The sequence below is a fragment of the Homo sapiens genome, chromosome 4 (genome assembly GCF_000001405.40).
Source record: "Homo sapiens chromosome 4, GRCh38.p14 Primary Assembly".
NCBI lineage: Eukaryota > Metazoa > Chordata > Mammalia > Primates > Hominidae > Homo > Homo sapiens.
This window is the reverse complement of record NC_000004.12, coordinates 89,537,438-89,565,404: the sequence shown is the minus strand read 5'-3', so window position 1 is coordinate 89,565,404 and position 27,967 is coordinate 89,537,438. Positions and strand designations below refer to the sequence as shown.

The 27,967-nt window shown below is 36.9% G+C and overlaps 1 protein-coding gene and 1 long non-coding RNA gene across 8 annotated transcripts in view, besides 1 other annotated feature; one reads left to right on the top strand and one right to left on the bottom strand.

The window, feature by feature from the left end:
* The window catches only part of LOC105377329 (uncharacterized), a 94,057-nt gene extending 80,042 nt beyond the window's left edge, over window positions 1-14,015 (bottom strand). For all 5 annotated transcript variants that reach the window (XR_007058469.1, XR_007058468.1, XR_007058467.1 and 2 more), the window contains exon 1: window positions 13,835-14,015. This is a non-coding gene — a long non-coding RNA (uncharacterized LOC105377329). The remainder of the gene's footprint in view (window positions 1-13,834) is intronic.
* Window positions 14,016-14,080: 65 nt separating this feature from the next.
* Window positions 14,081-27,197, top strand: LOC124900855 (uncharacterized). Of its 3 annotated transcripts, none has more exons than XR_007058464.1 (5): window positions 14,081-14,345; window positions 19,818-20,079; window positions 24,378-24,533; window positions 25,171-25,497; window positions 27,019-27,197. XR_007058464.1 is itself a non-coding variant. In XM_047416552.1 (3 exons), exons 1-3 carry the CDS (start codon window positions 14,217-14,219, stop codon window positions 27,073-27,075), a joined length of 342 nt encoding a protein of 113 aa, XP_047272508.1. In that variant the 5' UTR covers window positions 14,081-14,216; the 3' UTR covers window positions 27,076-27,197. The 3 variants fall into 3 exon arrangements, 1 of the variants encoding a protein (XP_047272508.1); XR_007058463.1 differs by having other exon boundaries at window positions 24,339-24,533; XM_047416552.1 differs by lacking the exons at window positions 19,818-20,079; window positions 25,171-25,497.
* Window positions 23,231-23,739: an enhancer, noted in NCBI's record as "H3K27ac-H3K4me1 hESC enhancer chr4:90462817-90463325 (GRCh37/hg19 assembly coordinates)". NCBI's record gives its function as "activates a minimal SCP1, AML or CMV promoter by ChIP-STARR-seq in naive H9 embryonic stem cells {active_cell/tissue: H9 hESC(naive)}" and the evidence as "EXISTENCE:reporter gene assay evidence [ECO:0000049][PMID:30033119]".
* Window positions 27,198-27,967: the final 770 nt, after the last annotated feature.

The following is a 27,967-nucleotide window of genomic DNA, read 5'->3' as shown; positions in this document are numbered from 1 at the left end:
ATAGAAAATCGAGGATTTTTTAAAGGAATAATGAAAGAAAAAACTGACGATATCAAGGGCTAGTACAAATGTGGAGTAACTGAAACTCTCATATTGCTAGTGGTAATGCAAAATGGTACAACCACTATGGAAAAAAATATGATATATTTTTAAGTGAACTATACACGCATATTAGCCAGCTATCCCACTCCTAGATATTTACTTAAGTGAAATGAAAATATGTGTCTACAGAAAGAATATATGTAAATGTTGAGCCGGGCGTGTTGTCTCTCACCTGTAGTCCCAGCTACTCAGAAGGTTGAGGTGGGATGATCATTTGACCCTAGGAGTTTGAAGCTGCAGTGAGCTATGATCTGCCACTGCCTTTCAGCCTGGGCAACAAAGTGAGTCTCAAAGTGTTGTTTGTCTCAAAAAACAAACAACAACAACAAAAACCACTATACATGAATGTTTATAGTAGCTTTATCCATAATTGACAAAGACTAAAAACAACCCAAATGTCATCAACTGGTAAATGGATAAACAAATTGTTTCATGTTCACAAAATATAATACTACTTGGTAATAGATTGAACTACTGATACACAATGTGGATATGTTGCAAAAGCATTGTGCTAAGTGAAATAAGCCAGATTTTAAAAATTATATAGTGTAAACTGTAACTTATATAACATTCTAGAAGTGGCAAAACTAGACCACACCAATGGTTGCCAGAGGCAAGTATTAGGGGAAGAGACTGACTACAAAGTGGCACTAAGGAGAGTTTGGGGTGATGAAATGTGCTATATCTTCGTTGTAGTCTTGATTACAGGGCTACATGTCTTTGACCAGGATCATCAACTCTACACCTAAATGGGGTAAATTTTACTATCCATAAATCAGACCTCAATAAATCTGACCTAAAAAAAAAAAGAAAAAAGAAGATTACCTTATAAGAGTTAAATGTATAAAAACCACATGTATTGAATGAAATTAGCTATTTGCAGAACTATTTTAAAGAGAATGTCACCACAATTAATACTGGGAAGAAGTCCCAAAAACTCTAATAATAATGACTATAATGTATTAAACATCTACTATATGCCAGGTAGTTAATATCTGTTGTCTCTAATTTGCAGAAAAACCCTGAAAGGTAGATACTATTTTCAGAGATAATTGATTCTTAGCAGGGTTAAGTAACTTACATGAAATTATTCATTAGATAAGCAGCTGTTATATGTGTTTAATCCTAGATTTGCCTAAATTTATATTCCCTTTCCATGAAAATATTCTATGTTCTTTCCACTAAAAATAATGCTACTCTGAAAACAATTTTTGTTGTAGAAGACTCTGTGGTCTAATCAAAGTTTGTGATCTCCCTGAAGAAAGAATATGTTAACAGATTCTTTCTAGTATAAAGAATATGTTTCCTGGATAAAATATATGAATCTCAGAAAATGTTCAGAGAGACAAAATTAATTTGGTCATGCCTTTATTCAACTATCTTCAGGGTATGGAAATAATATGTCTAGTGTACAGGAGTTTTTCTTTCCCTAGGAAAGAGTTATTGTTGGTTTTGTTTTACTTTGTGTGTCTGATTTTGTGGTATGGAAGTATTTTGTCAAGTCTTAACAGTTCCTGGACAAAATGTCCCTAATCATATTTCATAATTCTTGCTTGCCATGGAATCAGCAGGTTTATAATTTGGTTTCCTAGATACCTTGAAAGCAGGAGGCGGTGACCTAGATAAAGGAAACGAGTGCTCTAGTCACTGGCTGTCACACATTTGATCATAAGTGAACAATTAGGATTCTGTTTGAGTCATCAATGGCTTGTGAAGTATTTGGTGAGTGAGGTTTTGAGGTGTCTACTCATCTGAGGCTACACTGATGACATAAAGTTTCTGCACCTACAAGGATGAGGGTCAGCATGTAGTAACAGAGATTTCATGTAAACAAGGCCCCACTGCAATGTTTTCTATGAAATCTGTGTGTAGGCTTAGAGCTACATCTTACTCTTCCACTGGTTCAAGTTGAATCTCTTATTTTATTGATGTTCTGCTTAATTATTATCTATTCATAGGGACAACATTCTTTCCAAGTAATCGGTGTTTAGCAACTAGAGGCAATCAAGTAGAATTCATGTCTCTGTCAAAGTGGGAGTCATTCAAATGAAATAAATCAGAAACATTAATCAATACAACTATGTATTTCTTGCCATCAATGAAGATTTTTAATACATCATCCAAGCTGACTGAAAAGTAGAACAAAAGTTGTGTTGCTTTTTTTTGTAATTTTTGAAAAGTACTGAGATACTGCGATTGCTAAGCAGGAGTGGGAACAGATCAAAGAAGACAGAGTGAATAAGGCCGAACTATAAAGAATAATCATACTATGTTAACAAACATAATAAAAGTCATTCAAGTCCAAGGCATATGTGCATTCTTAAGTGATGTGTAAGCATAAATAAAATGATTAGCAAAGTCAGTCTCATCAAAATGACTGGTACTATGTATGGAATTCCCATTACCCAAATGACAGAGAAAATCATAGGAGACCTGGAGTGAAGCCCTGGCTTTGCCACATAATCATTAGCCGTATGACTTTGGTTGTGTAGCTCAACCTCTCTGAGGGTCAGATTTTTTCATCTGTAAATGATGATGCAGTACTTATCATTCAGAGATTTTTAAGCATTAAAGAATATCATGCATATACCTATTTTGACAGAGTTAATACAGTTACGTTTCCTCCTGGGAATACAGCTAAATTATATTTTCCAGCCTCCCTTAGAGTTAAGCGGGGCCATAAGATTAAATTTTGGTCAATGAGGTATTGGAAATGATGAATGTCATTTTCAACAGAGGGTTCTAAAATGTCCTCCACAATCCAAGCTCAGCCTCCAACTTGATGGCTAGATAACTTTAGGACTTTGAAGAGTATCCTGGGACTCTGAAGAAGTATTCACCAGACTAGGTCGTTACATTACTGCACTCCCAGATGTCCTTCAATAGACTATGAAATGAACATAAGTAAATGATTTGGTTATAGTTGTATGGAGTGAATTTACACTGTCAAATACTACAGAAATGTTATTTTCTTTTTTCTGTTAACTAGTAGCTTCTGGACAGCATAACATTTAAAGGGAAATCTATTGTCAGAAAAACCAAACACCAATTTGATCTGATTTAATTCAGTTATTAATTTAACAACATTTATTGAACACTTATGTGCCAAGAACCATTATAGACACTGGAAATAGGATGATAAATTCAACATAGTTCCTGCCCTCATGTAGCAAATATTTCAGTGAATGAAACAGACAATAAATAAGGAATTTACACATGCACACACACACACATGCACACACACACAAACATGCACACATGCACACACACATTGGGTAATCAGCTCTATGAACAAAAATTCAACAGGCTTACACCTGTAATTCCAACACTTTGGGCAACTGAGGTGGGAGGATCACTTGAGGCCAGAAGTCCGAGACCAGTCTGGGAATGTAGCGAGACCCCCACCAATCTCTACCAAAAAAATTGAAATTAGCCAAGTGTGGTAGCATAAGCCTGTAGTCCCAGCTACTTGGGAGGCTGAGGCAGGATCTTTTCAGCCTTGGAGTTCGAGGCTGCACTGAGCTACGATCATGCCACTGTACTCTAGCCTGGGCAACAGAACAAGACCCTATCTCTTAAAAGAGAGAGAGAGAATACAGTATGATGAGGGACTATTTTAAAGAAGGAGTTCTGAGAAGTCTCCTTGAGAGGTTAACATCTGAACTGAAGTATCAATTGAGTGTGAGAATGAAATTCTCAACTCCAAGTAGAAATTGCAAATGTAAAGGCCTGAGTTAGAAACTTGCTGGCACATCTGAGGACTATCAGGGAGGTAAAAGTAAGCACAGACCAGAGAGCAAGAGATAGAGTGATAAGAAATGAGGCCACAGACTAAAACAGGGCCCAGATCATGTAGAAACAAGATCATAAAAAGGACTTTGGGTTTTATTTGAAATCTAATGGGAATGATAGAGCAGTTGAGACCAGAGAAATGACATGGCTTAACATTTTTTAAAGTACCCACTCTGGCTACTGTGAAAAGAACAGTCTATAGAGGATAAAAGCGGAAACAAGAATAGTCAGGAAGCTGCTGGGATAATCCACAGGGGAGGAGGTGCTGCCTGGGCTAGCATGGTAGTGCCGGAGGCAGTGCAGTGGAGGGTTTGGAATACATTGTAAAAATGCAACAGACAAGATTGCTCCTGTACTGGATATTGAATATGAGAAAAACAAGGAGGTCAACCAAGGCTCCAAGGTGTGATCTGAGAAATTGAGTAAAAGCTGGTACCATTTGTTGAGAGGGGGTAAACTGTTGAAAGGGCAGTTTTGGGGTGATCATAGGGAAGAGTCAAGGGGTTTGGATACGTTTTAGGGTCTTCAAGTTATGCCAGTAAAATACCATAGTTTACTCTTATATCCAATTGTCATTGTCTTCAGATTAAAAAGTTTTGAAAAGTTAGGTTCCTCCACACCAAAGACCTTTTTCCAGTAGCTCTGCAGGCATCCAGGAGAAGGCCTGCCTTTAGCACTGAAGTGGCTTTGAGGGTAGCTAGGATGTGAGTTCCTGTGTTGGACACCCCTTGTACTACACTTGACCTCCTCTTGGCTCAACTTTTATTCCAGCCTTTGCTTCAGCATCCAGATTTGTGCTGCTATGACCTGACACCTGCCTTACTATACTACCCTGGGCTTCCCTGAAGCCCTAGTGTGGGACACCTGTGGAATCCACGTGGGACAGACACATATGGACCTGGATGTGTGAAGAGAAGGAGCAATAGCTTCCTGATCTTCTAATGACCACAATGGTAATATGATCTTCAGCTCCATAGTTCCAGAGGCAGTCTCCTGATTTCCTAGCATCTGATGGTGCCAGAGGTAACAGCTCACTTGGGGAGTCAGTTCTATGATGTTTGGGGAATTAATCTAGTGGGTCTGAAACCCACTCCTCTAATGTCTTTAACAATTTGGTAAGCACCTACTTCTCTGTGTCAAATTCCTTTTTGCTTAAGATTTTAAGGCAGTAATTTTTTTTCTCTGAACTTTGGCTGATAAATGCAGATAATTCTAGTACTAGGTAAATATTACACTCCAAGAACCAGTATTTTCTGCACGCTGCATTGGGATCTTATCAGAATTGCTGGACATTTACACAACAGTTCCTTTCCAATAATCCCCAACCCAAAGGTAAGTCTGAGGACCGATGATTGCTAACAGAGCTCTGAAAAACAATCTTCCACAAACATCACCACAATCCCAGCCTCTGACACAACCTTGATTTCCCATCCTTGTGGTATCCACATTAAACATGCAAATACTGGAACTCTGTTTAAGACAGAAGGCTCCATATTCACTCCACAATTCAAAATACCTGATTTTAAGTTTCACTGAACAAGCAACTTAGCACATAATAAGCAGGTTTCCTAACCGGGGAAGAAAGTGTTAATACAGAGTGGGTCTTAAAGAGCAAGTTCCTTTAAGCATCAAATGTCTCCCCAGACCCTCGCCAAAAAAGGTCTATTGATTTGAAAAGAAAATCTGTTTGTTTGTATTACTCATGTTCTTATATTCTTAGCAAAATTTCTGGATATTAGTCCTTCTTAAAGATCCAATGTTATTACCATAAATTTCAATCATAATCTCAACTTCTAATGTAATAATTTTATCCTTAACACTTTTTTTTGGTCAATGTTTCAATGACTGTTACAGACTCTCCCTACAGTGACCTGACATACCAGATAATCAGACCTGCCAAATTCTCTGTAAATTGGAATCAGGAAGAGCTAAATGAGGCTCTGAGGCTCATTCCTTGTTAATCAAATCAAGTAAATAACTTCAGTGCTCAGGTGTCTTTAAAAAAAAAAAAAAGAACAAGTTTGGCTCATCAGAAGCTATTTTAGTTAATATTAGTATTTTTCATATCTTGAGCCATGATGGGTGGCTGTTAGGTTATTTCAAGGAATATGGCATGACTATGCACTAACTAGTATGCTTTGCACATATGGATACTATTAGTTTTAAATGTTTCAACTAATAAACTACAAACTGATCTAAAGAGTATCTGAATTCATAGCAAGGCTTGGTCGGTATATATTTTCTGAATAAATGGATACTAAATATACTACTACTATCATAGAGAGATGTTATGAGGCTTTTTTTTTATGTTAAGAGGGCCATAATACTCAGATATGTTAACAGATATTGTGCCAGAGGACAGTTTCCAAAAATGTTACTCATGAGTAATGTAAGAACACATACAAATTAAAAATAAGATGCTTAATCCTCTCTATTGGAAATAAAGAAATTTACCCCCCCTTCCCATTTTCTTAAGGCATTTATTTTAGAAAATTTGCAATTGTAAGTTCTTTCTCCTCTCTTTGAAATGAATATAAATCCTTTTGAAAACTCGATAGGCTTTTTGTCAACTTTATGCCTCAGGAATGTTTTTCTCAAAGACCTGGGAGCTATCTCTTTGAAATGTAAATATCAAGGGGCCACAGTGGCTCACGCCTGTAATCCCAGCACTTTGGGAGGCCGGGGCCAGCAGATCACTTGAGGTCAGGAGTTTGAGACCAGCCTGGCCAACAAGGTGAAACCCCGTCTCTACTAAAAATACAAAAATTAGCTGGGCATGGTAGTGGGTGCCTGTAATCCCAGCTACTCGGGAGGCTAAGGCAGGAGAATCGCTTGAACCCAGCAGACAGAGGTTGCAGGATCATGTCACTGACTCCAGCCTGGGCAATAGAGTGAGACTCAGTCCCCTCCAAAAAAAAGGAATTGATTGTAAACATAAAGGGAGTTAGCACCCCTCATATGGTTTGGCTGTGTCCCACCCAAATCTCATCTTGAATTGTAGTTCCCATAATCCCCACATCATGGGAGAGACCCGGTGGGAAGTAATTGAATCATGAGGGCAATTACCCCACTATGCTGTTCTTGTGATAGTGAGTGAGTTCTCATGAGATTTGATGGTTTTAAAAGGGCTTTTCCCCCTTTGCTCAGCAGTGCTCTCTCCTGCCACCTTGTGAAGAAGGATGTATTTGCTTCCTTTTCCACCATGATTGTAAGTTTCCTGAGCTCTTTCCAGTTCTGTGGAACTGTGAGTCAATTAAACTTCTTTCCTTTATAATTATCCAGTCTCAGGTATTTCTTCATAGCAGCATGAGAAGGAACTAATACAACCCCCCATCTACCAGTTTCTGTGGGAGGATATGAGATTATGTTCCATGGGTGCCTTGATCCAAGTTACAAATCTACCTCCTGTCAAAAAGATATAAGAAATTTGCTTTTCCTCTGGATAAAGCCAATCAGTTTACACAGATGGTCACCCCAATTACTAGATGAATCTATGTGATGAAATCTAGGATGAAATATGTATGACAAATGGTGTTATCTAGTCCTCTTACTTGAAGACTATTGAATATTTACCGAGAAAACATGTATGTGTGTGATGGATTACACATAGTGACAGTATAAAAGGGTAAGATTTTGTTCTGCTAGTTCTTTGCAAGCTTTTGGTGGATTGCCTGTGATAAGCATCACATTCTCATTTCACACTCATTCAGTAATAAAACTGTTTATTTCTTTACTACCTTAATGGAGAAGTTTTCTGGGTTGGGAGAAGATATTGTTTTTAATTATATTTCCTCAACAGTAAAAAGGAAATTACTCCATAACTGAACCCAGCATTTATCAGGCCAGCCCTGTGGATGAGCACTATCAGCAGGTTCCATTACAGAATTTCTACCATTGCTACTTGTCTCTGAGGTATCTTAAACAAAATTTGATTACTGTAATCACTGTTCAGATGTGTAACAGGTAGCTTTATGCTAACTTATGTACCTTTTGGACTTTCAATCTCTGCCTGTAATTATGGTAAGGCTGTGATGAGTCTTTCCTTTTTCCTTCATCTGACCACTGAAAGCCAGCCATCCTCAGTTCTTTGAGTTTACTTCCATTTACAGCCAGCTTCGATCTGAACATTTATTTTAAGCAACTATTCTCAGCTCCTGCCTGCTCCTCCTTATCTTTTTCTACAGTCCCAAATTATGGCCAAATTACCCTACAGGAGGTAATTCTCATCTTCATGCTTCAGAATTAACTTCATTTCAAACAGCATGTCTCTTACCTCAGTTTGAGATTAAGAATAACTTTCACGTTGAAAGAGATACTATGCACATGTATCCACGATTTCTTTTCAAAGGATGGTAGAAGGTCCGAGGTAATTCCACTATGCCTCAGGCATTTTTCTTTTATCAACAAATCAGGACTACATTTCAAGTGGCAATTATCAGCATTTCAACTGACTTAGTCTCTTGAGTTTTAGCTTCCTGTTTCCAAACTGTCACCAGTACTGTGATATCCCAGATTTAAGATGTCAGTAGTACTGATAGAGACTACATGGCACACAGTATGGTAGGTGATGTTTATTAGTGATGCCCCTGAACGTATTTCCCAAACCTGATTCCCAGACATAAGTAACATCCAGAACATCAGCTCATTTAATTGCACTGTTCTGTTAGGAAGTGACTCAATCACTAAGGGAAGAAAGAACCTGTGCTCTTTCAGAATTCACTGGCTTCTGAGTTGCATCACTCCAAGTGATTTAAATGATGCCCAGGGCTGCTTTTGTATTCAAGAAATATGTCTTAAGTTTAATGGGAGCCCCAGTAGACTATCTCATCAGGAAATTCTATATGTCCTTTTTCTGCTGTTAGCAACAATATTAATACAGTTGCTTGACAAGTAAATCTTTCTACTTCAAGATACCACATGTAAAGTTAAGTAAGGTTCCTTTTTTGCTTGTCTATAATTACAGAAAAAATTTCCAAAAACAGATCACCACAACATTTTTTAATTTTCTGTCAGTGATTCATGAACTAGCAATTGCAGCTCCATGGCACCTCAAAATGTACTCTGGTGCAGAGTGAAGGAAAGCCACCATTTTCTTTAACCTAGAGATTTCTCTCTCTCTCCGTTTTTTTTTTTTTTTTCTTTTGAGACAGTGTCTTGCACTGTTGCCCAGGTTGGAATGCAATGGTGCAATCTCGGCTCACTGCAACCTCCGCCTCCTCGGTTCACGCGATTCTCTTGCCTCAGCTTCCCGAGTAGCTGGGATTACAGGTGCACACCACCACACCCAGCTAATTTTTTGTATTTTTAGTAGAGACAGGGTTTTACTATATTGGCCAGACTGGTCTTGAACTCCTGACCTTGTGATTCACCCGCCTCAGCCTCCCAAAGTGCTGGGATTACAGGCATGAGCCACCGCGCCTGGCCACCTAGAGACTTTTCTTACAGCCATACCATTATGCTGTATGTACAGGCCCCTAGCAATGATGCTATCTAATGAATATCTGGATTCATTGAACCACTTTAAAGTGAACACAACAAAATTGTGGTAAAAAAAAAATCCTTATCATGATTATAAAACAATTATCAGAGTGAAGAGACAAACTACAGATTGGAAAAAAATATTTGTAAACCATACATCTGATAAAGCATGAATATCTAAAATATATAAAGAACACAAAGAATTAAATAGCAAGAAAACAAATAACTGGATTTTAAAATGGGCAAAGGACTTAAATAGACGTTTCTCTAAAAGAAGACATATAAATAGAAAACAGGTATATGGAACAATACTCAGCATCACAAATCATCAGGAAAACACAAATTAAAAACCACAGTAAGATATCACACCTCTTAGGGTGGCTTTTATCAAAAAGTTGAAAGAAAACAAGTGTTGAAAAGGATGTGAAGAAAAGAAAACCCTTGTACACTGTTACTGGGAATGTAAATTCATACAGCCATTATGAAAAACAGTATGGAGACTTCTTAAAAAATTAAAAATAGAATTACCATATGATTGAACAATTCCACTTCAGGTATATATTCAAAGAATATAAAATCAGTATGTCAAAGAGACATCTACACTCCCCTGTTCATTGCAGCATTGTTTATAATTTCCAAGCGGTGAGAATAACCTAAGTTATCAACAAATGCATGGTTAAAAAGTGACAATATATATAAAATGTAGTAGAATATTTTTCAGTTTTTAAGAAGAAGAAAATACTGTGCTGTCATTTGAATGTTTATGTTGTCCATAAATTCATATGTTGAAACCTAATTTCCAATGTGGTGGTACTAAGAGGTGAGGCCTTTGGGAGATGATTAGGTCTTGAGGGATCCACCCTAATGAACGGATTTCATGCCTTTAGAAAAGAAGCCTGAGTGAGCTTGCTTGCCCCTTATGCAAATGTGAAGACACAGCTAGGAAGGTGTCATCTTTGTAGCAGAGAGTGAGCCCTCACTGGACACTGAGTCTACTGGTGTGCTGGTTGGACTTCCCAGTCTCCAGAACTGTGAACAATAAATTTCTGTTGTTTACAAATTACTCAGTTTACAGTACTTTGTTATAGCAGCTCAAACAAACTAAGACATCCTACCATATGCTATAACATGAATGAAACTTGAAAAGATTATGCTAAGTGAAATAAGCCAGTTGCAGAAAGACAAATACTTCATGATTCCACTTACATGAGATATCTAAAGTTGTCATACACATAATTAAAAATAAACACAGAGAGTAGAATGGTGATTGTCAGGGATTAAGGGGGAGAAGAAAATGTGGAGTTGCTGGTTAATGGGCATAAAGTTTCGCACATGCGACATGAAAAGGTTCTAGCGATCTGCTATACAGCATTGTGCTTATACTTAACAACACTGTAATGTACACCCAAAATTGTATTAAGAGAGTAGATCTCATGTTACATTTTCTTAACCATACTAAAAAAGAATCAAAATGGATTAAAAACTTAAATGTAAAACCCCAAACTATAAAAACCCTGGAACATAACCTAGGCAATACCATTCTGGACATAGGCATAGGCAAAGATTTCATGACGAAGATGCCAAAAGCAATGGTGACAAAAGCAAAAACTTGACAAATGAGGTATCATTAAACTTAACAGCTTCTGCACAGCAAAAGAAACTATCAACAGTGTAAACAGACAACCTACAGAATGAGATAAAATATTTATTAACTCTGCATCTGTCAAAGGTCTAATATACAGCATCTGTAAAAAAATTAAACACACTTACAAGGAAAAAACAAACAAACAAACCCATTAAAAAGTGGGCAAAGGACATAAACAGATACTTTTGAAAAGAAGACATACATGCAGCCAAGAAGCATATGAAAATAAGCTCAATATTACTGATCATTAGAGAAATGCAAATCTAAACCACAATGAGATACCATCTCACACTAATCTGAATGGCTATTACTAAAGAGTCAAAAAAATAACAGATGCTGGAGAGGTTATGGAGAAAAGAAAACACTTATACACTGTTGGTGGGCATGTAAATTCCATTGTGGAAAGCTGTATGTTGATTCCTCAAAGAGCTAAAAACAGAACTACCATTTGACCCAGCAATCCCATTAATGGATATATACCTAAAAGAATATAAATTGTTCTACCATAAAGACATATACATGCTTATATTCATTGTAGCACCATTCACAATAGCAAAGATGTGGAATCAACCTAAATGCCCATCAATAACAGACTGGATAAAGGAAATGTAGTACATATACACCATGAAATACTATGCTGCCATAAAAAGAATGAGATCATGTCTTTTGCAGGAACATGGATGGAGCTAGAGGCCATTATCCTTAGCAAACTAACTCCATAACAGAAAACCAAACACCACATGTTCTCACTTATAAGTGGGAGTTAAATGATGAGAACTCATGAAGATAAAGAGGGGAACAACAGACACTGAGGCCTACTTGAGATTGGAGGGTGGGAGGAGGGAAAGGATCAAAAAAAGTAACTATTGTGTACTAGGCTTGGTACCTGGGTGATGAAATAATCTGTACAAAAAAACCCCATGACGTGAGTTTACCTATATAACAAACCTGCACATGCACCCCTGAGCCTGAAATAAAAGTTTCTTTTAAAAAGAAAGAAAAATAAATCATCTTTGTGACCACTATAGTTCAAACATAATTGCCATAATGATGAGTTATGAGGTATGACCACTACCCACACATATAATATGTAGCTAATAATGATGGCCAAGTTTCTCACCTTCCGTTCATGCTTCACAACGAAGAGTGTTTTAATTATGAAAAAAGAAGTCGAAAAATCATAGAGCTCTTTTATATGTCTCAACGAATAGTAATACTTAATCTTGCAGATTTCCTGGGTAAAATACATGTAATCTATTTAAAGCATAAGATCAATTTCTGATTCACAGTGGGCATAAAAGAAATGGCAGTTATCATACTGAATAAATATATTTAATAGTATATATATTTTTTTGAGACAGAGTCTCGCTCTGTCAGTCATGCTGGAATGCAGTGGCGCAGTCACAGCTCACTGCAGCCTCGACCTCCCAGGCTTAAGAGATCTTCCCACCTCTGCCTCCAGAGTAACTGGGACTACAGGTGTGCATCACCATGTCAGGCTAATTTATTTTTATTTTTATTTTTTGTAGAGATGGGGTTTCACTATGTTGTCTAGGGTGGTCTCAAACTCCTGGGCCCAAGCTGTGTAAGGAGGTGACTCAATTATAAGTGGAAAAAATAACAGAGATTTACACAGTAAACATAGACGTGTTTCTATAAGAGGCACTGGCAGTACTCAAGCCACTTAAAGTTATTTTAACATGTACTGATTTGCTTTGTTTTTCAAAATAATTTACAGCTTGACTTTCTGAAAAAACATTGATCTTTCAAATGCCATTGTGTATAGGTGGTACTAAACTTTTGTTTCAGCGTGGGTATTAGCAAAATCTGGTGTTACCTTTCAGCTTTAGATGAATAGTTAAATGCTACATGTTCAGTTCTGGCATCTATGAACTCATGTGTGATCAATGGATACATGATCATGTAGGTAACCTTTCTACCTAGTTATTTTAACACATTAAAAATATCAATAAGTTGCTGTGACACTGCGGTACATTATTGAGACACTCATTCTTCCTGCAGCCAGGAATGATGAGTGCTGAGGCTCATTGCTGAGTCTTTTTCTGTAAGTTGCCCTCACTGAAGAACCTGCCTTGCCCAAGATTACATTCTCCCCCTTGTGAGCAGATTACATCCAATAACTGCTTGAAGTCGGGGTGCAAAGGCCTTGGCCCCTTGACTCAACTGGTATTCTAAATAGTCATCTCAGCTTCTGGATCCCCTTAGGATCAGCTGAGGCTGCTTTTGCAACTGCATCACAGTTTAACTTTTCTCTGTGCCTAATCCTGCTTTCCCCATCCCTCACAAGTATTGCATATGAGCACTCCCTATGAACCTCCTATTTGCAAACCTCAGTTTCTCTCCCCAGAGATCCTAACTTACCGTATAAATGTAAGGCATGTTGTTTAGATTTATTATTTTAACTAACATTTTATTATGTAAATTTCCAAAAGAAGAAAGGTTTTTAAAACTTTGTATCATGTGTCTACCACCTAGATTCTACCATCTATATTCAACTTTACTTTATCAAATGTTTGTTCACTTATCCATCTTTGATTATCTTTTTAACACCTGAATACTTTCTTTAAAATATTGGTAATCATCATAAATGTAAAATTGCAATGAAAATGGACTTTAATCAAAAATAGGCTACATGTTATCAAGATATTTTGAACTACCTTATCTTACACTTATATAAGATGTTCAACCAAGATAGAATGAAAGCTAATACACATCCAAAGACTGAGCAAATAAAAGCAAGCCTTATTACATACTTTGCAGGTAATACCACCACAATACCAATATCTTCAGACATACCAACAATCAAGGGTTGCTTTCACATCTTTCCTTTGCTGAAGTCTGCTGAATAAATCAAACAAATATGTCGTGAGGTGTGAGTTTTTCTTACATGATGCCTGCTGTACATACCCCCCAGTCATTCCTCTTTAGAGAAATTGCTGAAATGTCATGTTTGCCAATGAGAGGCAGACAGAAATCTGAGTGCCAGCTAAAAATTCCGGAACAATATTGTCATTCTAAAAGCCAAGCATATTGTTCTATTGCAAAAGTTCTAGTCCAAAGTAAGGACAATTTTTCCCAAGTGATTGAGTGGAGCAGCAAATGCCTGTGAAAATAGTAGATATAAAAATATCAGCAAGAGCCAAAATTACAAGACTGTTTCTGAAAATATTCCGAAAGAATGTTTAGAAAACATCTTTTTCCAGGTAGACAGAGAGTTTGTGAGGCTGCATCATTGGCATCATTTTATCATCACCATCCCGCTCAGGAGCTCAAGAAGAGGGGAACTGAGTCAGTTAGAATTACAGAGGTAGGGAAAGTTGAATAATGGTTATATTGCTACATCATCTGTACCCTAGGCTGCAGGAGCTAGACCAAAGAAGTTGCTCCTCCTCTAGCCTCAGTGGAAAATGAATGCCTATTTATAGTCTCACTAATGTATAATATAATTACCATAGGAGCAAGCTATCAGGTGTTAATGCTGAAAAAAATGTTTCTGTGCTATAATGTCAAGTTTTAAAATGCAATTTCTAAAATTATAACAAAAGTTGAACAATTAAACTTTATTTAATAACAGTTCAGATTTTTGTTTTTACATGTTGTTTCTATAACATGACATCCATGTTGACCAACTGTCGACTTTAACATTTTCAGCATTCAGCAAAATGTGTATTCAATACACCTCTACTGAATTTGATAAAGATTTGTTTTCTTTTTGTTGAGATGCTGTTCTATTTCTATGTTGAAATTAAATTTTATATTTTTATATTTGAAAATTATATAATATTCCTAGGGAATCCTTTTCCACCCTTTCAAGTACTTTTAAAAAGCACTCTTAAGATTCAATCCCTCAATTATCCATTTTGGAGTTAACACAAGCTTCCATAAATTTTTTAAAAATCTATTTTATTATTGGAAATATGCACTCTGATTTCAGACCTTGTATGGACTTATTTTGGTTTTGAAACTTTTATCAAAATATATATTTTTACCTTCTGTAGACTGCATAGTTTGTACAAAGTTCTATTCTTATATTTTGTTACTATAGACAAAAAGTCAAAATTACATTTTGAATATATGGCTTTACTAACTAAATATGGACAAAAGAGAAATAATGAACCTGTGAGAGAAATGGAATGTTTGTGTGATGGGCCAGATGCTGCTGTGTTCATTTGCACAATGAGCCCTGACTCACTTGTTTATTAGAAGCAGGTACACATCTAGGCAGTGGCTTATGTCCATTTAAAGGCAGTTATTAGAAACAGCTAGAAAATAATTCATAACTCTCAAGAAAGAAATTAGAAAAGAATGCCAGATGGAAATGAATCACATGAAGGGCAAAGGGCATCAGGGTAAATTATAAACATAGTGCAATTTGCCAGTTTAAGCAGGAAACAAAAAGAGAAAGGAAAAAGAAAGCTTTCGGACACAAAGTAAAACTCTGTTGTCCAAAGTGAGATTCTTTCAAGTTAAAATGTGATTATCCCATAAACAGCTAAATGACCCTAAATATAGCAGTTTTATTGATTTATATATTTAAATTAATTATGGCTCATGCCTGTGATCTCAGCACTTTGGGAGGCCAAGGCAGATGGATCACTTGAAGTCAGGAGCTTCAGACCACCCTGGCCAACACAGTGAAATCCCATCTCTCCTAAAAATACAAAAATTATCAGGGTGTGGTGGCGCACACCTGTAGTCCCAGCTACTTGGGAGGCTAAGGTGGGAGAATCGCTTGAACCTGGGAGGCAGAAGTTGCAGTGAGCCGAGATCGTGCCACTGCACTCCAGCCTGGGTGACAGAGTGAGACCCTGTCTCAAAAAAATAAAAGACAAAAATGTATATATTTATTATATACAACATGATTCGAAATACATTTACATTATGGAATGGTTAATAAAGCTACTTAACATACGCATTATATCATATACCTTTTTTGGTAATAAGAATAATTAAATCTACTCTCTCGGTGACTTTTCAAGAATACAATGCATTGTCATTAACTGTAGTTAACCATGTTGTAAAAATAGGACTCTTGAACTTATTCTTCCTAATTGAAATTTTGGATCCTTTGGCAACATTTCCCTAACTCCCCACCCTTTCCAGCCACTGGTAACCATCATTCTACTTTCTACTTGTATGAGTTCAACTTTTTTAGATTCCATATGTAAGTGAGATCATATAGTTATTTGTCTTTCCGTGTCTGGCTTATTTCACCTAATATGATGTCCTCTGGTTCATCCATATTGTTGCAAATGACAAGATTTCCTTTTCTTTTAAGGCTGAATAGTATTCAGTTATGCATGTACATGACATTTTATCTGTTCAGCTGCTGATGGACACTTAGGTTGTTTCCACCTCTTGGCTATTGTAAATAGTGCTTCAATGAACATGGGACTACAGGTATCTTTTTGACATACCAATTTCATTTCTTTTGGATATATACTCAGTAGTGGGAATGCTGGATGATATTGTAGTTTCATTTTAAATTTTTTGAGGAATGTCCATAATGTTTTCCATAACACCTGTACACTGTTGGGGGGAATGTACTAACTCACATATAAGTACATGTAAGTAGTCTAAGTTAGTACATTCCCGCCAACAGAGTACAGGAGTTCCCTTTTCTCTAAATCCTCACGAACACTTGTTATCTTTCATGATTTTTGATAAATGCCATTATAAGAAGTGTGAGGTGATATCTCATTCTGGTTTGAATCTGCATTTCCCCGATGATTAGTGATATTGAGCATTTTTCCTATACATATTGGCCATTTGTATGTCTCCTTTGTATGTCTCTGGAATGCAGTGGTGTGATCTCGGCTCACTGCAATCTCTGCCTCCCAGATTCAAGCGATTCTCCTGCCTCAGCCTCCTAAGTAGCTGGGATTACAGGCGCGTGCCACTACACCCAGATAATTTTTGTATTTTTAGTAGAGACGGGGTTTCACCATGTTGGTCAGGCTGGTCTCGAACTCCTGACCCCGTGATCCACCCTCCCCGGTCTCCCAAAGTGCTGGGATTACAGGCGTGAGACACTGCGCCCAGCCTGTGTGTCTCCTTTTGAGAAATCTCTATTCAAGTTCTGTGTCCCTCTTTTAATTGGGTTATTTGTTTTCTTGATATTGAGTTGTTTGAATTTTTTACATTTTGGATATTAATCCTTTGTGAGATGTCTGGTTTGCAAATACTTCCTCATTCCATAGGTTGTCTGTTCACTCTGCTGTTTCTTTTGCTGTGCAAAAGCCTTTAGTTTGATACAATCTCTTTTGTTTATTTGTGCTTTTGTTGCCTGCACTTTTGGGGTCAAATCCAAAAACTCATTGGCGAGACTAATGTAATGGAGTTTTTCCCTATGTTTTCTTCTGGTAGTCTTGCATTTTCAGATCTTATGTTTATGTCTTTAATCCATTTTGGGTTGACTTTTGTATATCATATGAGACAAGGGTATAATTTCATTCTTCTGCATATGGATGTCTAGTTGCCCTAATACTACTTATTGAAGAGACTGTCCTTTCCCCATTGTGTGTTCTTGGCACCTTTGTCAAAAACCAGTTGACTGTAAATGTGTGGATTTCTGGACTCTATTCTGTTCCACTGTTGTATGTATGTATTTTTATGCCAGTTCTATGCTGTTTTCATTACAATAGCTTTGTACAGTATTTTGAGGTCAGGTAGTGTGATGTCTCCAGCTTTGTTGTTTTTGCTAAAGATTGCTTTGGCTATTCAGGGTGATTTGTAGTTCCATATGAATTTTAGAATTGTTTTTCTATTTCTGTGAAAAATGTTACTGGAATTTTGATAGAGATTGTATTGAATCTGTAGCTTGCATTGCGTAGTATGAACAGTTTGACAATATTAATTCTTCTAATCCATTAACAAAATGGAATTATCTTTCCATTTGTTTGTGATTTTTTCAATTTCTTTCATCAATATTTTATAGTTTTCAGTATACAGGACTTTCATCTCCTTGGTTAAATTTATTTCTAAAGTTTTTGGAGCTATTGTAAATGAAATTGTTGTCTTGATTTCTTTTTTCAGATTGTTTGTTGTTAATGTGTAGAAATGCAACTGATTTTCATATGTTGATTTTGTATCCTGCAAATCCCTTTACTGAGCTTGTGTATTAGTTTTAACAGTTTTTTTTGGTAGGGTCTTTAAGGTCGCATATATATAAAATAATGTTGTCTGCAAACAAGGACAAAATATCTTCTTTCTTTCCAATTAGATATGCTTCATTTCTTTCTCTTGGCTAATTGCTCTGACTCGGACATCCAGTACTATGTTCAATAGAAAGGGCGATGAGTGGGCATCATTTTCTTTCTTCTGATCTTAGAGAAAAAGCTTTCAACTTTTCACCAGTGTGATATTGACCTGTGGGTTTGTCAAATATGACCTTTGTTGTGTTGAGATACATTCCTTTTATACCTAATTTGTTGAGAATTTTTTCTTATGAAAGGATGTTGAATTTTGTCAAATGCTTTCTCTGCATCTATTGAGATGATCACATGGTTCAGTCCTTCATTCTGCTAATGTGGTGAGTCACATTTATAGATATGCAAATGTTGAACCATTCTTATATCCCTGTGATGAATTCCATTTGATCACAGTAAATTATTCTTTTAATGTGCTATTGAATTTGGGTTGCTAGTATTCGTTGAGAATTTTTGCATCGATGTTCTTCAGGAATATTGGCCTGAAATTTCATTTCCTTGTCTGGCTTTGGTATCAGGGTAATGCTGGTCTCATAAAATGAGTTTGGAAGTATTCTGTTTTCTCCATTTTTGGGAAAGAGTTTCAGTAGGATTGGTATTAGTTTTTCTTTAAATGTTTGATAGAATTCAGTGGTAAAGGCTGCTCTGCTTATGGAGTAGTCATTCTTTATTCCTTTACGTTCCTAATAAACTTGCTTTCACTTAAAAAAAAAATCAGTGGTAAAGCCACCAGGTCCTACACTTTTCTTTTATTAGAGACTTTTTAATAGTAATTCAATCTCCTTATTTATTATTGTTTTGTTCAGGTTTTCTAGGTCTTCATGATTTAGTCTTGGTAGGTTGTATGTGTCTAAGAATTTATCCATTTCTTCTAAGTTATCCAATATGTTGGTATATAATTATTCATAGTAGTCTGTTATGATTCTTTGCATTTGTGTGGTATCAGCTGTAATGTCTTTCTTTCATTTCTGATATTTGTCTTCTCTCTTCTTTAATTTAGTTTGCTAAAGTTTTGTCAATTTTATTTCTCTTTTCAAAAAACCAACTCTTAGTTTCATTAATCCTTCCTATTCTTTTATGCTCTATTTCAGTTATTTCTGCTCTGATAATTATTCCCTTCCATCTACTAACTTTCAGCTTAGCTTATCCTTATTCTTCGAGTTCCTTTTTTTTTTTTTTTTTGAGGTCTTTCTTCTTTTTTGCCTTAGGTGTTCACTGCTATAAACTTCTAATCTTAGAATTGCTTTTGTTACATCCCGTAAGTTTTGATATGTTATTTATCTATATTTATTTGTCTCAAGATACTTTTAATTTCTTCTTAACTCATTGTTTGTTCAGAAGCATATTTGTAAATTTCCAAGTATAGTAATCAGGCCTTATTCAAGTTTCAGTTTGCCATGGTCAATATAGGTATGAAAATATTGAGATATTTTGAGAGAGAGAAAGAGACGACATTCATATAACTTTTATTATAATATATTGTTAAAATTGTTCTATTTTATTATATTTTTGTTCATCTCTTATTGTGCCTAACTTATAAATTAACTTTTATCATATGTATGTATGCACAGAAAAAAACATAGTATATATAAGGTTCTGGAGCTGAAAAATACAATGAACAAAGTGAAAAGTGAAACAGAGACTATCAGCAGCAGAATTAGTCAAGCAAAAGAAAGAATCTGCAAAATTGAAGATGAGTTATTTGAAAATATACAGTGAGAAGAGGAAAAAGAAAACCATTTTTAAAAATGAAGAAAGCTTACAGGAATTATGAGACAGCATCAACAGACCAAAAGTTTGAGTCACTGGCATTTTGGAAATCTGCAGCTTCAGGTATCCACTGGTGATTGTGGAATGTGTCCCACAGATAATGGAGGACTACTGTATCTTTTAATTTTCTGAAATTCTTCCTGTTACTCACTTGTAATTTCATACCATTGTGGTCAGAAAAGATACTTGATACCATTTCAATCTTCTTAAATTTCTTAAGGATTGTTTTGTGACCTAACATATAATATATCCTGGAGAATGTTTCATATGGACTTGAGCAGAATGCATATTATACTTCTGTTGGATGGAATGTTATGTATATGTGTTAGGTTTATTTGGTCTAAAGTTTAGTTTAAGTTCAACGTTTCCTTATTGATTTTTTGTTCGAACGATCTGTCCATCGCTGAAACTTATACGTTAAAGTCTCCTGCTAATTATTGTGTTACAGTTAGTCTTTCCTTCCAATCTATTTATATTTGCTTTACATATTTGGGCGACTTAATGTTGGGTGCATATATATTTACAATTATTTTGTCCTATTGATAAATTGATTCCTTTATTAATATATAATGACTTTCTTTGTCTCTTTTTACAGCTTTAGACTTAAAGTCTATTTTGTCTGATATAAGTATAGCTTCCCCTACTCTCTTTTGGTTTCCATTTGCATGAAACATCTTTTTCCATCACTTCGAGTCTATGTGTTCCCTTAAAGGTGAAGTGAGTCTCTTATAGAGCGCATACTGTTAGATCTTATTTTTTTAATCTGGTCAGGTACTCTGTATCTTTGATTGGTTAATTTAATTATTGCTAGGACTTACTATTGCCATTTAAAAAATTGTTTTCTGGTTGTTTTGCAGATACTTTGTTCTCATCTTCCTCTCCTGTTGTCTTACTTTGTGATTAGGTGATTTTCGGTAGTGGTATGCTTTGATTCCTTTTTATCTTTCACATATCAATTATTAGGTTTTGCTTCATGGTTACTGTGAGGCTTACATAAAACATCTTGTAATTATAACTGGCAATTTTAAGCTGATCATAATTTAACTTTGATTGCATTTAAAAATCTACACTTTTACTTTAGCCCCCACCCTACATTTTATATTTTTGATTTTACAATATGTATTTTTATATTGTGTATCCCTTAATAAGTTATTGTTTTTATTGCTTTTTTAAAAAGTTTTTTCTTTTAACTTTTATACTAAAGATATAAGTAATTTAACAATTATTATAGCATGAGAGTATTCTGAATTTGTGTATTTACTTTTAACAGTGAGTTTCATGCTTTCATATACCAATTAGCATCCTTGTCTTTTTGCTTCTTCAGGTCTTCCTTTAACATTTCTTGTAAGACAGTTCTGGTGGTGATAAACTCCCTCAGTTTTTGTTTGCCTGGAGAAGTCTTGATCTCTTCTTCATTTCTGAAGGATAGCTTTGCCAGGTAGAATATTTTTGCTTGGCAATTTTTCTCCTTCAGCACTTTGAATATATCATTTTGCTCTTTCCTGGCTTGCAGGATTTCTGCTAAGAAATTTGCCACACCATATTGGAACTACCTTATATGTGATTTGCTTCTTTTCTCTTGCTGCTTTTAAGATACGTTTTGCCATTGAATTTTCTCAATTTGATTGTAATATGTCCTGATATAGTCTTGTTTGGACTGAATCTAACTGAAGAAATTTGACCTTCCTATATTTAGGTATTTATATTTTTCTGCATTTGGAATTTTTTCTGGTATTATTTCTTTAAATAAACTTTCTACCAGCTTTGTCTCTGTCTTCCTTCTTGAATGTTAATGACCCAAACATTTGCTCTTTTGATACTGTCCAATAAGTCTTGTAAGCTTTCTTCATTCCTATTTATTTTTTCTTTTTCTTTTCAGTGCATATTTTCAAATAACCTATCTTCACAATCACAGATTCTTTCTCCTGCATGATCAGTTCTGCTGCTGATAATCTCTATTGAATTTTCCCATTTCATTCATTGCATTTTTCAGCTTCAGAATTTGTTTGATTTTCTTAAATAATTTCCATCTCTCTATTAAATTTCTAGTTTTGTTCATTTATTGTTTTCCTGCTTTCATTAAATTGTCCCTCTGTATTTTCTTGAAGCTTGCTAAGCTTCCTTAAAACAATTATTGTGAATTCTTTGTGTTGCAGTTTGTATATCTACATTTCTATGGGGTCTTTTTTGCGTTATTTTGGTGGTACTATGTCTACTTCGTTTTTCATGTTGCTTGTTGACTTGTATTTTTGTCTGTGGCACATTTGTAGAAGCAGAAATTTATCCTAGTTTTTGCATACTAGCTTTTTCTAGGAAAGCCCTTAAAAACCAGTCAGTCCATCCAGAGATTCTGGATAGACTGTCTGGTGTGGCCTGTGGGCAGGTTTATTTTTGAAGCTCTTGAGCAGGCTGGTCTAGATTGTGGGTTATCAGGTGGGGGTAGGTCTGGTGTCTGGGTCCTTGGGGTTGAGTCTGGAACCTGAATCCACTGGGACAGACTTGTTGATTAGGCCTATGAGGGCAGGCCTAGAGCTTGTATCCCTAGGGACCAACCCAAAGCCTTGATCCATAGGGGCTGACTTGGCACATGGGTGAGCCTTGAGCCTAAATCTAGAGGCACCAGAATAGTCCCAGCACTTGGGTCCACCAGAATGGACATGTAGCTTGAGTCCATGGGGACAAGCCTAGACCCTGAGTCCATGGGGGCTGTCTGGAGCCTGGGTCTGCAGGAGTCATCCTGGAGCCTCAATCTTTGAGGGCCAGCCTCACACCCAGGTCTGTTCAGGTGGGCCTGGACCCTAGGTTCACTGTAGCTAGGGCTTGGCCTTATACTGGGGCAAGCATAGAGCCTGAATCTGTGGGGGTTGGTTGGTCTGGAGCCTGAGATTGCAGTTGCTGGCCTGAAGCCTGGAGCCATAGAGACTGAGCTGGGGCCTAGAGCTGTGGGAAGTGGACATAAATCTGGGTCCACAGGGGCAGTCCTGGACCTGTGTCTATGAGGTCTGGCTCAGTGCTGGGGTTAACTGGTATGAGCTTGTACCCTGGGTCTTGTAAAGTAGGCCTGGACCCTCAGCCTAGTGGAGTGCATGGCCACAGGGTCCAGCCTGCAGGGTGGTATTGCAGGATCTGGCCTGGGACTGGGCAGGACTGGAGCCTGTGTCCTTGGGTGTCAGCCTGGTACCTGAGACTAGGGGTGCTGACTCAGCACTAAAGCAGGCCTGAAGCCTGGGACTCTGTGGGCCAACCTGTCTCTGGGCTGTTCTGAGCTTGGGGTTAGTTCTGGAGCCAATATCTGCAGGGGCTGGCCTGGAGGCTGGGCCCACTGCAGCTGGCCTGATGACTAGGGCTTTGAGTGCTGGCCTAGTGCTGGGATGGTCCTGAGCCTGCAGCTACAGAGGCCAACCTGCTGCTAGGGCAGTCCAGAGCCCATGACTTCCAGGGCCAGCTCAAAGAGATTGAGTGAGTCTTGGGGGCAGCCTCAAACTCTGAGGCCAATTAGGTTAGCCTGGTGGTGAGGTGGGCCTGCAGGCCCAGTCCAAGTGTGTCAGCCTGGGGTCTGAGGCCATAGACACCTGCCCAGTTCTGGGTTTTACTGTGGCAGGTCTGGTGTTATATTTAAGGCAAAATCCAGTGCACACTTCTCTCTCCTTCCTCCAAGTGTGGGTTTCTCTCTCCACGCTGTGCTGCCTAGGGTTTGGGGAGGGATAGTTGGATCATGTGAATCTGTCCTTCCTGCCCTCTTCAATGTGTCTTTTCTTATTTCTGTGCTACACTAAGGTGCTGTAATGTCTCACCCGGTTTCCTTAGCTCTTGGGAAGGTATTCTCTTGTGTGGAAAATGGTTCAAATTGATGTTTCCGTTGGGGGATGGGCACTGGAAAGCCCTATTCTGCCAACTTGTTGCCATCCCCTAGACAATCTAAATCTAAGTTTTAGTGACCCAGAGGGAGATCACAAATTCTAATTGCACTTTTATAGATAATTTTCAATGGAGCTGCTCATACTGAAGGTTGTAAAAATGACTTAAGGAGAGTGTTGGCATTTCACTACACTGTGGGTACACAGAGAGAAAAATAAATATATAAAAATATCTTGTTTTAGTAGCTACTGAGAGGAAGAGTATTTCATCTTGCCCTTGCCATAGTAAAGATGTAACCCCCTTTCTAAGTAAGGTATATTGGCTCTTATTTTTTAAATATAAGGTTTTATACACTGTACGAAAGAAACTGGAACTTTAATTTCTTGTTAAAAGCTAAACAAGTAAGTGGAATGACCTAAACTTTGAGATCTACATTGTGGTAAAATTATGCTTTCTCTTAACAGCTTTCTCATAATGAGTATTTGCTTATAATTTGTTGTAAGGGTGATAATAATTTCAGTTGGAGCCTCACTGGTAACCTTGCTCAGCCACACGACTGGAATGTAAGAGGCTGGGGCATTTTGGACAGCACAGATGTTAAACGTGAACACTACCTTCTCAGTAGCACAAATCTGACTACATCTTTAAGTCTCCAAGAGGTAAACTCTCCTTCTTCATAGGGGATTTCACATTTTCAGAGCAGATGCAATTAGAAATTCTAAGAGTACTTAGTCCCTGAGATTTAGCTTTTGTTGGTTCCAAACTCTGCCAGTTTCCCTCATCATTGTTAGAGTCATTTTAATTCCTTCACTTTTCAAATGCTGTGCCTGCCTCTGCCACAACACTCTTTGAAGTAAGTAAAGACAAATAAAGACAGTGCAAACACAATCCTCTGAGGCAAGAATGGATTCAGAAATGGATACATACATTAGACACTGCCTACCCAAGTGCTATAATTTGGGATACGATAGCAAAAGTTGTCCAAGCCCCCACCCTAAATCACCTTGGACAGCTGCCTTACCATCTGAAATTCTATCCCTAGGGATTCATTGGGCAGAAGAGTTCAAGGCAGAGCAGATCTTCTGTGGCACAGAACTGTATAGTTGGGAGGCCTCTGCAGGGTCTCCTAAAGAATTCACACATGCACCCCACAAGAGAATCAGCATTTGGTTTTCACTCAGAGGTCATCACCAGGGAAACTGTCAAAGTCAAGACAGGAAAAGAACAACCCCAATTAAATGAGTCATTTGACTGAACTTTTCTTTGCTTCTCACTTCTCTGTTCTTAACCCACCAGGAGAAAAAGAGCTTCAGGAAAGGGAGGATGGGGAAGAGTTTCTGCAACAGATCTTGATACTTTTCAATTCCAAGTCTTATGAGCCAAAATCTTGTTGCTGATGGAAGGAAGAGAAAGATTTAAATTGGATATAAGCTAGCTAGGTTGATGTCAAATAGCTGAGAGTGATGAGAAAGAATGGGATTTCCTTTAGAATGTCACTAAGGGATAGAAATGAAAATTCTACAGAACAGTTGAAGGAAATGACTTTTAAAAGAAAAAGAGAAACAACTTCATATCTGTGTCTCATCAAATTCACATCATTCATTAATCTGGCTACACATTGTTGTAAGTAATTCATATTTAAATTAGTTCGTCTAATCCTTTCCTCACTTAGTTTTCTGATGTGAAGTCACAGTGGAAATGGAACTGCTGATTAGGGAAGGCACAGAATAATTTTGAGGTATGAATGTAGTTTGGGTGAGACTGCCTGGATAATAATAATCTTGAGTCAGAGTTACCATGTGGCAGGCATTTTATGAGAATCTTTGGGAAAACTCACAACTTTGCAAAGTCACTGTTATTTACCCCAGCTTGCATGTTAGGAAAGCGCATCAGTGAAATCGTGTGACTCATCTAAATAAATCAGTCTAAGATAAGGACCTCAGATAGAGGGCATAATTACAAGGCCATTCTGCAGTCATTACACATATCATGTGGCCTCCAGAGGGGAGGAGGGCAAGGGTATTTTGGTGGTGATAGTGGGGAGAAAGAGAAGAGGAGGTGAAAACCCAGAAGAGAAAAAGAAAATAAACAGGATAAGTAGGAAGATGCTAGAAATAACATTTTACAACTTTACACTTACGGCTAAGGATGACCTGAAATATTTAACTTCGTAAAGGTTTATCCATGGAAAATCAAAGTACTAACTTTAAAACACATAACATTTTTGTGCCTTACCATTATCAATCTACTCTTGGTTCTATATAAATGTCTATGTTTTTCAGAAAGGAACTTGTATAAAACTAATATTTAATCACAAAACTTGCTCCAAGAAAGGTCAGTGTTTTAGTTCAGATAAGCTGTTTATTTCCATGTTTGGGAAGACCCAAGCCAAAAAACCAGAATGGAAAATGGAATGTAGCCCTAGTTCTTCCTGTGACTCGGGTTTATTGCAAGGATTTCCTTTCACTGGAAAACATCAGACATAACAATATTCAAGTATGCTCACATAAATACATTACTCAGCAGAGATAACATAAAATTATACACAATTGTGAAGAAACTTAACCTCCACTATCTTTCACTAATGCAGACTTATGAAGCCCTTTAAGTTCTTTTATATGAATACAATATAAAATATATTGGAATACCATTATTCTTTCTCCAGTGCCTAACCTCTTCCAAATGTCTGCATGCAAACACAGAACTGATAGATTGTATGTCCTCAGTGTGTATGCATACGTGCACACATGTTCATATATTTACATGTGCATGAATGGAAGATTCTAAATCAAGTGACTCAAGAGCTGAATATATCTCTGCTTTAGTATTTACTGAGTTACACTGATAAAACCTAGATGCCATACCAGAAGGAACTTCCATTAATGCACAATCACCTTCAGATATTTTCTATAATCTGACCATGAAAATAAACACCACTTCTAAAGGTAAGGCCCAAAGTGATTCAAGGTGAACCTTAAGAAAATAAAAAAAATTGTCATAATTAAACCAGGTGTCTAAAATATAGCCTGTATGTTCTGTTCAAACTATACTTCCCTGTTTAATTTACATGGAATTTTTCTAAAATGCTAAGTACTCCCTTTGTGTCTGCCCATCACAATAAAACAATTTGTTCTCTTAATCTAGGAACATGAGGACATGAGCAATAGAGGAAACCTGGAGGAAGAGGGTGTGGCATGTTGAAATTTAAAAAGAAGCAATGTGTATTTGCAAGTCAAACCAATATAATAAAACCAGTGGTTATTTTTTAATGTTTTCAATCATTGGAATATACATGAATTTTCACAATAAAGTGTGCTAAAGTATTCATATCTTTTAGACCATTATTTGTCCTCCAGTAAGAAATCTACAAAAAAAAAAATTGACTTTTATTTGAAACAACAGTACATCTGAGAATCCAAAACAGTGTATCTCCATGTCGCTCCAGCACTCTAATATTGAAGTGTTTCAACAGGATGTTCTTTCAAAAACAAAGGGGGAAATAGTCCACATATTGACTAGAAATATGTTTGGCAAATGTGGGAGAATAATCTATTACAGTGAATTAATCAGGGAATTAATTTTATACATAACAAGACAGCTAGAGGTAAGCCAAGAGTTGGTGCAGGTGTTAAAAGAAACAAAAACTGAAGCTCCTTCTAACTTTCTGCTTTAGACTTCTTTATATGCAAATTTCTCCTCATGATTGCAAGATGGCAGCTGTATCTTCAGGTATATCATCATTGTTCCAGGCAGAAAAAGGTGGAAGTTAGAAAAGCAAAAGATACATTCTATTTGAGTTTTTCACTTTAAAATAGTCAGGGAAACAATGGATTTCTTCGAAATCCTAGCTAGTATATTTCTAGTTATGTGACATTTACCAGAACAGGATAATAGAGCCAACTTTAGCACCAATGGAGTATAAAAGGTTGAGTATTTTTAACTGGGAACAAAAGTATCCCAATTTTCTTGCTGTTAGTGGAGAAAAAGTAGTTTATGGAGTTGGGTAGATAAATTTTGTTATTGTTACGGAAAAAATGATTTATGGAGTTGGGAAGGCAAACAGCAATGTTTGCCAAAAGTATAATGAATAGAG